This window comes from Homo sapiens, chromosome 14 (genome assembly GCF_000001405.40).
Source record: "Homo sapiens chromosome 14, GRCh38.p14 Primary Assembly".
In the NCBI taxonomy this organism is placed as follows: Eukaryota; Metazoa; Chordata; class Mammalia; order Primates; family Hominidae; genus Homo; species Homo sapiens.
Window position 1 is genome coordinate 64,821,640 of NC_000014.9, and position 12,562 is coordinate 64,834,201.

At 48.3% G+C, this 12,562-nt stretch overlaps 1 protein-coding gene across 8 annotated transcripts in view, besides 1 other annotated feature; it reads right to left on the bottom strand.

Moving 5' to 3' along the window:
* SPTB (spectrin beta, erythrocytic) overlaps window positions 1-12,562 on the bottom strand; it is a 133,625-nt gene that overhangs the window by 75,357 nt on the left and 45,706 nt on the right. For 6 of the 8 annotated variants that reach the window (NM_001355436.2, XM_017021612.3, XM_047431724.1 and 3 more), the window contains one exon: window positions 1,308-1,506. In NM_001355436.2, coding sequence (NP_001342365.1) covers window positions 1,308-1,455 — 148 coding nt within the window. In that variant the 5' untranslated portion in view covers window positions 1,456-1,506. Of the gene's footprint in view, window positions 1-1,307; window positions 1,742-4,089; window positions 5,293-12,562 lie in introns of those variants that run through there. The other 2 variants (XM_047431725.1, NM_001024858.4) reach the window with 2 other exon arrangements.
* Window positions 9,740-10,239: an enhancer, noted in NCBI's record as "H3K4me1 hESC enhancer chr14:65298097-65298596 (GRCh37/hg19 assembly coordinates)". NCBI's record gives its function as "activates a minimal SCP1, AML or CMV promoter by ChIP-STARR-seq in primed H9 embryonic stem cells {active_cell/tissue: H9 hESC(primed)}" and the evidence as "EXISTENCE:reporter gene assay evidence [ECO:0000049][PMID:30033119]".

The window sequence follows — 12,562 nt, forward strand, 5'->3', positions numbered from 1 at the left end:
ACCGTTATGGTCCGTCCCCAAGGGAAACCAAGGGAGAATTTTGTGGGGTCAAGGAGGGTGAGAAGGAGATAAAGAAAGAAGAAAGAGAGTTTCCTGTAAAGAGCAAGGACACCAGGGGTAATGACTGAGACCCAAGTGGATTCCTTGTCATGACAAGGGAGATGAGACACCGCAGCATTCCTTTCCCGGCATGAGAAGCCCAGACACTCCCAAGATGTGAGGTCATTATGGTCCCAGAGGGGTCCAGGGCCCTGCTCAGGCTTCAAGGTCTGCCAGGGACTGTGGTATCTGGGAGCTGAGTACAGGGAGGGAGTGGGGAAGAGGATTACTACAACCTTCAATTTGGGCCATAAGGTATGGGGGCAGCGGGAGAATCACTCCAGAAAGTGTTTATGGGGAAGGTTGTACTCTTCTTAGGAGGTGGAAGACGGCAACAGTCAATGATAGGGAAACAGGTCCAGTGTGGGCTGCTGACTGGTGGATCAGGTGAAGGAACCCACCTTCCACACATACACACACAACCCCATGTAACTCAAACTTTCTTATTGGCCGAAGACTTAAGGTCGGAATATACTTACCCTGGGTCAAGTTCAGGGAGGCAATAGTCACAGGAGTTGGGGAAAAAAAAAAAATCCCAAGAATCAGATATCAGCCAACAGGGGGAGGAGAAGTCATTTCTACTAGAGATTTAAGATATTCTCCACCCCCACCTTCTCTCTCTCTCTCTCTCTCTCTCACACACACACACACACACACACACACAGAGAGATCTATTATGAACCTGCTAAGCAAAAATCTAATTCCAGTTTAAGGATGAAAGGTTTCATCAAGAAAATCCTTCCTGAGGCAGTGGGGAGGATGTTATCTGTTCTCGATTTCCTATCCAATCACTCCTTTTGGGACTACAGAGAGGACTATGGTAATTCCTCTCTCTAGGCCCAGGCAGGAAATCGGGGTTAACCAGGAGGCCCTGTGAACCTGCGCCCGGCTGTCCAGCCCTCAGACACTGCTTTGCCCAGACTCTCGTACTTCTCACTTGGCCGCAGGTCACTCAGGACAGAGGCAGAGGGCAGGCCCCACCTGGTCCCAGCTCCAGCACCTCCTTGCTTCTCAGAGGCCTTGGGGGCAGAGGCTGCCTGAGCTCCCTCCCAAGGGGACCCCCACCTCCCTGAGCCCGACAAACACGTCTCCATCACTGCCATGCCAGGGCTCACCCAACACACACAGAGGATTCACACTAGGTGGGGAGGGCTGTGAACCTTGTGACTGTGAGAATGCCCTCCAACCCTTGTGGCCCCAAACAGTACCTGCCAAGGCCTTTATCCGGGACCTCTCAAAGAGCCTGGCTGAGCTGTTGTCATTATCCAGCTCGTCGTCTGGGGCGTCCCAGCGGGCATTGATCCTGCTGTAAGGTGGCTGGTTGCCCACATTTTCAAACTCTGTGGCCGATGTCATGTCAGCAGGCTCTTAGCAGCTCCGCCTGCCTCAGTCTTCATGGAAGGATCCCTGGGGGACAGCAACACAGTCAGAGGGTTATCTCTCTACCCCCTCGGACTTTTTCTCCGGGGAAACTTATTCGGAGCATCCAACGTGAGTAGATCCTGACAGAAGCAGAACGCCATGTCATCTGCCTGGGCGTGCTTCCTACCAGGGTCTCTGGGTCGTTTGTTATAAAATATTGCAGCAGCAGCAGCAGCAACAGTACCGGCAGCAGTGGCAGGGATGGAGAGCTGCACGTAGCAAGGGTCAGGACGGCCAGCAGGTGGAGACGTCAGTCGCAGCCAGCTGCTTCCTCCAGACCAGCCGCCCCGCCGCGGGGAGCACCCCGGGAGAGAGGAAGCTCTCCTGGGAGCCAGAGGCAGCAGGGCACAAGCTGGGGAAAGCAACCCTCACCCTGAGGACTAGGCCAGGACCTAACCTGGTGGGGGAGATGGGGACAGGCCAGGGGAAGGGAGAGGCTGGAAACAGGCTGAGTCTGACCCATATGGGAACCATGGGGAGAGATGGATGAGAGAGTTAAGCCGCCACTGACGCCACCAGCCCGGGGCAGCTGCACTGGGGGGACTTCACTCCTCCCGGAGGCTTTCTGAGAGCCCTCTGAGTTCCTTCCCAGCAGTTGGTATTCAGAAAGCTGACCTCGCATTTTAGGGCTTCTTTGGAGCATGACCAGGTGCTCAGATGAGGTCTCCTGTTGAATTCCAGGACAGACTGAGCAACCCAAAGGAGCCTGCTGTCCCATCAAGCACGTGGCAGTCGGGGCATCCCATGGACAATGGAACCGTGCATTGTGAGTCCATGTGATGAACCAGCGCATCAGGAGCACTGGGTCCTCCCTCACCCGTCATCAGTCATTCCTACTCACTCATTCATTCATTTACAGTTAATTCAAATATGTACCAAGCTCCAACTAGGTGGCAGGCACTGTACTAGGCAGGGGCAAGTAAGACAGGAAAGTCATGTCCTCACAGAGCTTGGAATCTGGTGGCAGAGACACACAATTAAACAAGCAACTACAAGAAGGTGTGATGTGTGTCATGGCTGGCTTAGGTGGGGACTCGGCGGGGACTGGTATCAGGGAGGGGAAGTTGAAGCTTATTCCTAAAGGAAGCTTGGAGGTACCCATGAAGGGACAGGTGGGAAAGGACAAGAGTCCAAGCAAAGGGAATAAAGAGTAGGTGTAAAGTCCTGAAGGTAAGAAAGAACACAGAAAGCTTTGAGAACTTTAAGAAGTAACGGGAAGGCAGGGGTGGAGTCAGGGGAGAAAAGTGAGGAGGGGGCCAGGGGAGCCAGGCTTGGTCTTCAATGCCCTGGACCCTAGGAAAACTATTAGCTTTCTTCATCTGTACCTGACATTTGGTCCTCTTTCTAGGGATCTTAAGGGACTCCAAGATCAAGTCTGTAAGAGAATAGGGGACCCAGAGCCTTCACAACCAAGAGAGCAAAGCGGGAGGCAGGGAGGCTGTGAGGCAGACCTGTGATGGGGGTTGACAGCCAGTGAGCTGTGAGGGAGACCACTCCCTCTGTGGGTGTGTGCACCCACGGCACACACACAGGCTCATATCTGACACACTGACACACACCAGCACACACATGCACATCCACCAGGCACATGATCACGGAGGCACTGAAGCACATTCACCAGCCCAAGTGTGAGATGGCAGCAGGGCTACAGCCTTATTTTTCAGATACAGACTCACTTCAGACTGCATTTTCCCCAACCTGATGAATCCATCCCACCACATCCTTGTGAGGTAAGATAGGAGCCAGGATTACCCACCCTAATTGCCTTGGGAGAAAAACCAAGGCCTGCTGCAGGAGGAGGCCTCCCCAGGGTCATCCGGTGGAATGACTGCGGCTGGGACCAAAGGCCAAACTGGAGCGCAGTTTATCCCCCTTGACCAGACGGGTTTCAGGAGGGCAGGTGGGGAAAGGACTGGAGCACAGTTTATCCCCCTTGATCGGACAGGTTTCAGGAGGGCAGCTGGGGAAAGGACTGGAGCACAGTTTGTTCCCCTCAATCAGAAGGGTTTCAGGAGGGCAGGTGGGGAAAGGACATGGTGCATGGGGACAGAGGGCATTTCCCAGCCAGGGCTTAGCAAAAGTGTTTGCCACTCAAGAGAAGGGAAGGTGCAAGGTGGGAAAACCAGTCATCATCCCGAACACAGGATGCCCCATGATGCCAGACCTGTGCCCAAGACCACCCTTGTGCCTTTGAACAGCCTGTCCTCTTCTGCAGATGGACTTGCTGCTTCCAGGACTGAGATTTCGCACCCAACTGGCTGGGCAACGATAGCCGGGAAAGATACCCCCCACCCCCGGCCCCACACCTTTCTCTATTTCCCTTAAGGGAAACTACCACTGACTTGGTCTCTGAGCCAGAGAGGGACTGACAGGCTGACCACCTCCTGCAGGGCCACAAGCCTGTCCAGCAGCCCCTGAGAAGGGCTGAGCTGCCAGACGCAGGAGGTGAGGTGAGATCAGACCCTGAGTGCAGGAAGTAACCGGACCCTGGCTCTCCTGATTCGTCCTGGGCTATTTTTAAGAGTGGCTGAGAGAGGCCTGGGCCGTGGGGCTGGAGAGTGAGATTACCTTTGCCATGGCTCCGTAAATAAGTCTGCCCCAGAAAGATGAGCCTGAGCAGGCCGACCAGCAGGCCCAGCGTTCAAGACAAGATTGATGGCCCCGGGTGCAGAAGAGCAGCGGCTCGACAGCAATTCATCCTGCTTAAAAATGCCATCCCTCCTGTGGCCATGGCTCAGAGAAGGCAGCAGCCGGGCAGCAGCTCTGCCAGGAATGGGAAGAGATGTATATGTGTGTCTAAATATACAGCTGGAGGGTTTTTGTTTTTGTTTTTGTTTTGGAAAGAGTCAGGTCCCTGAAAACAAACACCAAGGAAAGATGATTCAGAAATGAAAGTGAGGCCCCTTTCCTTGTGCCCTCTTCCCCTGCCATGCCCACCCCAGGCCCTGCCCAGATGGCATTCCATCAGAGTCAAGGGGGTCATGGGATGGGCCAGTGCATGCAGGAAGGGAAGCTCTCGGAGAATCAGGTGTAAGAGGCAGGAAGGAAATAAATAAGAGAACAGGAAAGCTACAGATAGTTAACAAAAAGCAAACACGAAGATATGCCTGTCCAAAACCAGATTTAACCCATTCTCGGCGTCACCATGTCTCTTTCCATACTGTTACAACGGCCCTTCAAAGGCCTGGCTATAAAGAGATGACCATGACTGAAAAAAACAGCATATGTTGGGGCTCATGGTGGGGACACCTAATTGAATGGGGAGTCATGGAAATGACATTTAAGTTGCTACCTGGGAGGAACTTAGAGATGAGATGATCTGGTCTCATTTTCAAAGATATAAGTCATCTGCACATCTAGAGTGGCCTTCCATGAGTCACGGAGGACCGCAAATACATGGCTAAAATTAGATCTTAAATTGCACTTCAGGCCCATCAGTAAACCCAGGAAAAAAGGCATAAGTACTTCCTTGTCCATTCATTCCCTGGCTTACCCACAAGTCCCCCAAAATTCCTTCTCTGAACCCACCTGACCCTCGTCAAAGTGTAGGTGGGTCTTCTCTGGTCTCCGTGACTCTGTGCCCAGAGAGGTCCACCTGCCCCATCCATCCATCCACCTGCCCGTCTAGCAGCTCTAAATGCACAGTCCAGAGTCATCCTTACCTGCCTTCTGCCACCACCGACCCCAGGCTATATTTTGAGTAGGATGGGACCTGAGAAGGCTTGCCCACAGCTCAGCACTGAAAACCTCATGGGATCACACAGAGGACTCAGCTCACAGAAGGAACATGTACTTATTAATGCATTTCACAATACCACTGATGCAACCCACAGCTCCAACCTTCACATCCGCCTTTGAGGTCCGATGCTAGGCTCAGAGCCTCAACCTCATGTGCTATGTCCAGTTACTCCCTGGGTTGGTTAAGAACTGAGAAAGCAGTGGTAGCAGCTCCTCTCCCAGCCTGCAGGGTGCTGACGGAGCCCAAGCTAGGACCCATGTCAGCCCTCGCCGAAGCCCCGAGCAGAAGAGGCAGCTGTTCTCTTTTCTCCATCCTCTAGTCCCCCAACAAAGTAAACAGCATCCTCTCCTCTTCCCTGGGTCATACAAAAGTGAGAAGCAACAAAGCACAAAGATCTACTTCCGAAGTGGGAAACCGGGGGAATACAGGGCAACGCAGGGCTGAGGAGCAGGCTGTTGAAATAGCAAGGACACTGTCTTTCTTAAACAGTATTGCTCCTTCCACTGTATTGTTATCTTCTCTCTAGCTGTAAGGTTTGACCCCCTCACCTGTTTTCTAGTTTGTCCTGCCCCTTTATGCTACCTCAAACCTGCTTTTAACAATTTGGTATTGTGGCAACCCGGTCAGGAGATTAAATCCTGAAGTTTCTCTGGTAATTTTTCTGTCAATCCATCACCAAAAAAGGAACATCCTTCCTCTCCCTCTGATCATAATCGCATTGCACATTCACAGGTACCTTAAAGAATAGTCAAATACACAAAAACACATGTGCACACACTCACTAGAATGAGAAGCAATAAGACGTGCAGTGCAGAATACTTACTCTAAATCTATCTGCAGCCCTAACCTCCTCCCTACTCTCAAGCTCTAGTCTGGCACCTCCATCTGCCTACCAGACATTTCCACCTAGAAATTACAGCTCAGTCTCAATATGGCTAAGACTGAGCATGGGGCTACCAGGACAGCAGAACCAGGGAGTTTCAGTACCATGGGGTAACGATGTGGCCCAGATAAGCATGCCACCTATGGGTGACCTTTCCAGTCGATGGACACCACCAGCAGTTCCTGGACAAGCCACTTCCCCTCCCCAGAGCACATTCTGCTTTTTCACACTACAGCTCCCATCCCAACCAAGTCTGGCTATTAGTGCATCACTGATGGACTATGGTTTGGGGTGCTTAAAGTCCCAAGATTACTACCCATGGTTGCTACTTAGGGATCTCCATGCATCTGCAATATCCTGGTCATTCTGGTCGACTGCTGTTTGGTGAGGCCTTTACCAGACACTTCTACTCCAGTTTCTGTCACCCGGCAGGGGCTTTACATGCCGCAACTTGTCCACTCTCATCATGGAAAAATCTCCTACCAAGAACTGGCTCCAGTTATGCTGCAGCTGCTGGAATAGGGGTGGGGGTGGATGGGATCATAGCTCCAATAGTTCTTACAGGATTTGGTTGGGGAACAGGTGCTACTCAGCTCTGATGTAGGGACTGGCCCATCAGCCTTCTATCATAACAACAGTATCTATCAGCACTTCACATCCTGCACAGAGGCAAATGTCCACTGGGAACCATTAAAGGAGAGGGGAGAGATGATACTCATATACATATCAGGTTGGTACAAAAGTAATTGTGGGTTTTGCCATTACTTTTAATGGTAAAAACCACAATTACTTTTGTAGCAACCTAATAGTTTTCAAATATTATCCTCTATTGGGATTCTTGGGCTTAATATCTACATTTACAGAAACTTGTGACCCAGTCCTACCTCCTCTTATCTCTCTCAACTCACTTCTTTCAAGATAGCCACTGGCCTCTCTCAGAATAAGTAACATTTTATGGCAGTTGAGTTGAAAAGCTGGATGCCCAATTTCCCTTATTCCATGAGGACTTTTGTAGAATATCTATAGTAACTTCTCACTTCTTTGATGAAAACTGCAGGAGGTAGGTAGAGGTCTCAACATTGTAGTGAGGTCTCAACATTGAAAATAGTCAAGAATAGACTGGAATAATTTATTTGACATCATCACTGAAGTGATATTTATAATGTAATAACTGATTCAGAAAAGATTTTAAAAACCCATCAGATAATGGGTTGATGGGTGAACTTTACAATGGAGGGATCAAGTTTTCAACAACTGAACTCACTGATCAATCTTAGTATCACCAAGAACAGGACAATTAGACACATGTGTCTCCTGACATGGTGCAACATGAAGGACATCATGACCTATGACGTTCTTGCCAAAAAAGTTGAACCTGAATTTATTAATAATTAAGCTTTAGAGCTAATTTCCCATTTATAGGAATTACAGGAAATCAAGATAAATAACAACTTGAGGAAGCAAAGAAACAAACCCAGAATGTAGGGCATTCTGCAGACAACTGACTCAGCTTCTTCAACAAGTTAGAGGCTTTAAAACAGACAAAAAAGAGGCAGAGAGTGAGGACTGCTGTAAATCAAGAGAGACTCAGGAGATGTAATAATCAAATATAATGCACCTTGTTTGGATCTTGAATTTAAAAAACCACATTTTTGAGGCAATCAGGGGTATCTGAATTACAGACTCAATATTGATTGGTACCTAGGAATTAGTCAATTGTGTTAGATGTGATCATGGCATTATGGTTATGTAAGAAAATGAATTTTTGTTTTGCAATGCTCAAAAAGGTAGTGGGGGACAAGACATGATGTCTGGGATTTGCTTAAATGTGCTTCAGCAAAATAAGAAGCAGCTTATTGACTTGGAGTGATCTACTTATGGGGGTTCTTGATTCTATTCTACTTTTATACACGCTTGAAATTTTGTATAATAAAAACTTTGATAAAATTGGCAATTAATAATAAATTAAACTTGTAAAATACAGTCATATGCCTTAGGCACAACTGGAACCTAGAATAAAAGTCAACCCCTTCCCATGGTCCTAAGGCCCTTCCCATTTTCTCCAAGATCATCTCCCCACACCCCCTATAGGTAACCTGCCAGCCTTCTTTCAGTTCTTCAAACTTGAAATGTCCTCCCCAGCTCAGGGGTCTTGTGCATGCCATGCCCTCTGCCCCAGACACTTCCTGGAGCATCTCTGCATGTCTGGCTCCTTCTCATTCCTCAGATCTCTTCTCAGATGTCGCTTCCTTGTGGAAGTCCTCCCTGGTCACCCTCTCTAAGGTAGCTCCCCGCTCTGTTAGCCTCAGTCTTTTTGACACTCTGCTTAACTCTATAGAACTTATCATAATTGTAATTATTCATGTATCTGTCTGTTTCCTCTTTTTTTTTTCTTTTCCTCTCAGTGCCTAGACCACAGGCTCCTTATAGGCATCAGCCATGTCTGCCTTTTTCATTATTGTACTCCAGTGCCTAGTACTGGGCCTGGGACTTAGTAGGTACTCAATAAATATTATCCTGTTCCTACAGACCTGATCTCAAACTCTGGAGTCTTATTATTATTATTATTATTATTATTATTATTATTATTATTATTATTTTATTTTATTTTTTGAGATGGAATTTCACTCTTGTTGCTCATGCTGGAGTGCAGTGGCACGATCTTGGCTCACTGCAACCTCTGCCTTCTGGAGCCTTTTTAAAGCCCTCTATCCCACCATATTCCCTGACCCACGCACTCAGTTATCCCATGTACATGTATTGAGTGTTTATTCAATATTTATTCATCACCAAGGTCAGTCATTAAGCCTCTGAAAGGGTCTTTTGTTCGTCATTTCTTTATGTTTTAAAGCTCTACTTCACTCAGGCCCTCATCTCTTCCCACTTGGTCCATCTCTGTCCGTGCTCAGCCCCTTCACAGTCCCTCCTGCACGGCCCCTCATGCTGACACACCCCTACCCTGTAAGCTTTCAGCAGTACAGTCCAATTCTAAGCCCTGCACCATTTGGTGCTGAGCTCACACTCTCTTTTATGTGAACTCTGCTCTAGTCAGGAGGGTTCACATGGCCCCTGTCCCCACCATGGTGTCATGTGCCTTGACAACTTTATTTATGTCACATCCCATACCCTGATATTTTAGCTACCTCTCCCATCCCCTTAAAATTTAAAACAAATACAATTTTCAAATATTTAGAAACACATGTATAACATGTTCTCAGAATCTGAGTGAGGTTGCCTTTTCCCTCCTATCCAACCCCATAGATCCCCCACTGCTTCTTTTCCCCCTCAAGTGGAGGGGGCAGGCAAGATGGGCTCAGGGAAAGCTGGTGGTGACCCATGCACCAACTCCCCCTCCTCAGTCTCACTTCCTCTCCACCAACCTCACTGCCACTTCCTCCCCACCAACCTCACTGTCACTGCCAAGGGAGGTCAGATCTTTGCATTCCTTCCTGCTGCCCATTCCTCAAATCCTGGGAGAAACATGAATCTCTAGCTTTTTCTCTTTTCCGCCTTCACTTTAACATGCACAAGTCTTTCCTATCTTCAGCAAAACTCCTTCTTACCATCTTCTCTCTCCTTTCTTTCAGAGCCAAAATTATTGACAAAGTTGCCAAGGACATGAACGGGTAATTCATAGTAGTGAAAACCTAAAAAGCTAAAACCCTAAGAAGAGATACTCAAGCCCATGAGTAACCTGAGAAATGCAGATTAAAACAAGGAGACCCCACAGGCAAACATTAGCAAGCTGGGTCATGCTGAATATAGATGCTGATGTGGAAAGGGGCTGCCCTGTGCACTACTGGTGGGAGTGTGGACTGGCCCAGCCATTCTGGCGGGCTGTCTGCCAGGACTCAGGCAGGCTAAGTGTGGCTCTGCTCACACGGGCCTAGAAGGGGACATATGCAAGAATGTTTACTGAGGCATTGATTGTGGTGGCGGGGAGGTGGAAATAACCTGTGCGTCCACCACTGGGGCAGGGACAGGTAAAATGCAGTGAATGAACACGTGGAGGGCACATGGCAATGCTGGAGGATCATAGAAACAGTGCTGAACAAAATACACAGGAAACAGAATGAGATCTATAACATCATTTACATAATTAAAAAATATATGCATGTAAGCCAATACCCATACAAGGACATATGCAAATTAAAGGAAAACTCTTAAACACATAAAAATGGTTGTTTTTAGGTGGAGTGAAGGGAATAGAAAAGGAAAATGGAAATAAAAGGAAATCAATCCATCAACCAACCACAGAGAAGGGCCTTGGCTGGAAAATGATGATGAACTGAGAAGTATGATGACCTCAGCCCTCCTCTCCAGAGATAAACATAGATACAGTGTACTTATCTATATTCATGGTAGCTTCTAGCTTCTTCATCCCATCCTCAAGTCACTCAACTCACTGAAATCTGGCTTCCGCCCTCACTCCATGAAGCTATTCTTGCCAAAAGTCACTGATACCTCCCTTCCTTGTTACTTAAAGCAGGAGATGCTTTTCAGGTCTTATCTTACTTAGCATCATTAGGCTCTGTTGGCCATTCCAAAATTTTCTGAAATCATTTCCTTTGTCTTCCAAGACACGCTCCTTGTTCCCTTCTTAACTTTGTGGCCCTTCCTCCTTTGCCTGCTCTGTGGGCTACTCTTCCTTGGCCTGTCTCTTAAATAGTGATGCTCCCAAGTTATCTCCTGGGCCCCTCCACTTCTTCCTCTGTCTACACACTGTTCCTAGGCTATTTTCTTCACTCCCATGACTTGAATTACCATCTTATGCTAATGACTTTCAAATCTTCTGAACCCATCGTGTCCAACTGCCTTCAGAACATCCACCTAAGAAGGCCCACAAGCCCCTCATGTTCACCCTAACCCCCAGTGGAATCTATCCTCATCCTTTTCCCATTTTTCCTGCCATGCTTCCTATCTGTCAACATCCCAGCGGCCCAAACCAAAACCTCAGATCATGCTCCATGCCCTTCTTCCCTCTCATCACACCAGCCCCTTTGCTATCTCTCCAATCTCTGTTCTTCTCTATCTCCACCGCTCCCCACACTTCTGGCCACTGCCTTCTCAAGTCTAGTGGTTTCTGCTGGTCTTTGTATCTATATTTGCTCTTTGGCCTACTAAACTAGCCCATTTTCTACACTGAGGCCAGACAGGCCATCCTAGAATACAAAGACGACATCACTTACGTACTTTAACAGCTCTTCTCTATCTCAGAAGGAAGTTTAAAACCCATAATAAATCACAGACAAAGCCCTTTGTGATCTAGTCCCTCCCTGATTACTATTTCCATCCAATCCTTCCCCCCAGCTTCTCCAATACTACATCTAGCCATAGGAACTCCATTCAGGTCCCCGGCTCTCTCTGGACATGTTCTTTGCACATGCTGTTTCCTAAGCCCGAAAAATCCTCGCTCCTTTACAGAATAACTTCTTCTCTGTCAGAACTCAGCCCAGCCTCATTTCCTTCAAGAAACCTCCCACCTCTGCTGGGCGCGGTGGCTCACGCCCATAATCCGAGCACTTTGGGAGTCCGAAGCGGGTGGATCACCTGAGGTTGGCAGTTCGAGACCAGGCTGGCCAACATGGTGAAACAGAGGCTCTACTAAAAATACAAAAATTAGCTGGGCATGGTGGCGCACACCTGTAGTCCCAGCTACTCAGGAAGGCAGAGGTGGGAGAATTACTTGAACCTGGGAGGCAGAGGTTGCAGTGAGCCAAGATTGGGCCTTTGTACCCAGCCTGGGTGACAGAGCAAGAGTCCATCTCAAAAAAAAAAAAAAGAAAAGAAACCTCCCACGTCTACCACCATCCCCTGCAGTAGGTGGAGGTGGGGTGTTTCTTTTGTGTTCCCATCACTCTCATGCTCATCTTCATCAATGCACTTGCCATACTGTAGCATCATAATCTAGTTCTCTGTCTCTCCCAGACTGTAAGCTACCTGAGGTCAGGGACCATCCATATTCATTCTTCTTATCCCAACAGCCCAGCATAATGCCAGGTACATGAAATAAGCTAAAGATCGTTTGTTGAATAAATGGATGAGAACTGAGAAATGCAGAGTGCTGCTCCTTAAGAGGATAAAAGCAGTTCCCACCGAGGACACACCATGTGGAGGCCCATTTGGAGGTCAAGGTGGTGAGAAGGTTGGAAGCATAGCATGTTGCAGTAGCACCGTGAATTCATCATCAATGCCCTGACATTGTCCCTGTCACTCCTTCTGCCTCAACCACACATTGTTTTTTGTTTTTTGTTTCTTTTTTAAAACGGAGTCTCACTCTGTCACCCAGGCTGGAGTGCAGTGGCGCTATCTCGGCTCACTGCAACCTCCGCCTTCCAGGTTCAAGTGATTCTCTTGTCTCAGCCTCCCAAGTAGCTGGGACTACAGGTGGATGCCACCATTCCTGGCTAATTTTTCTA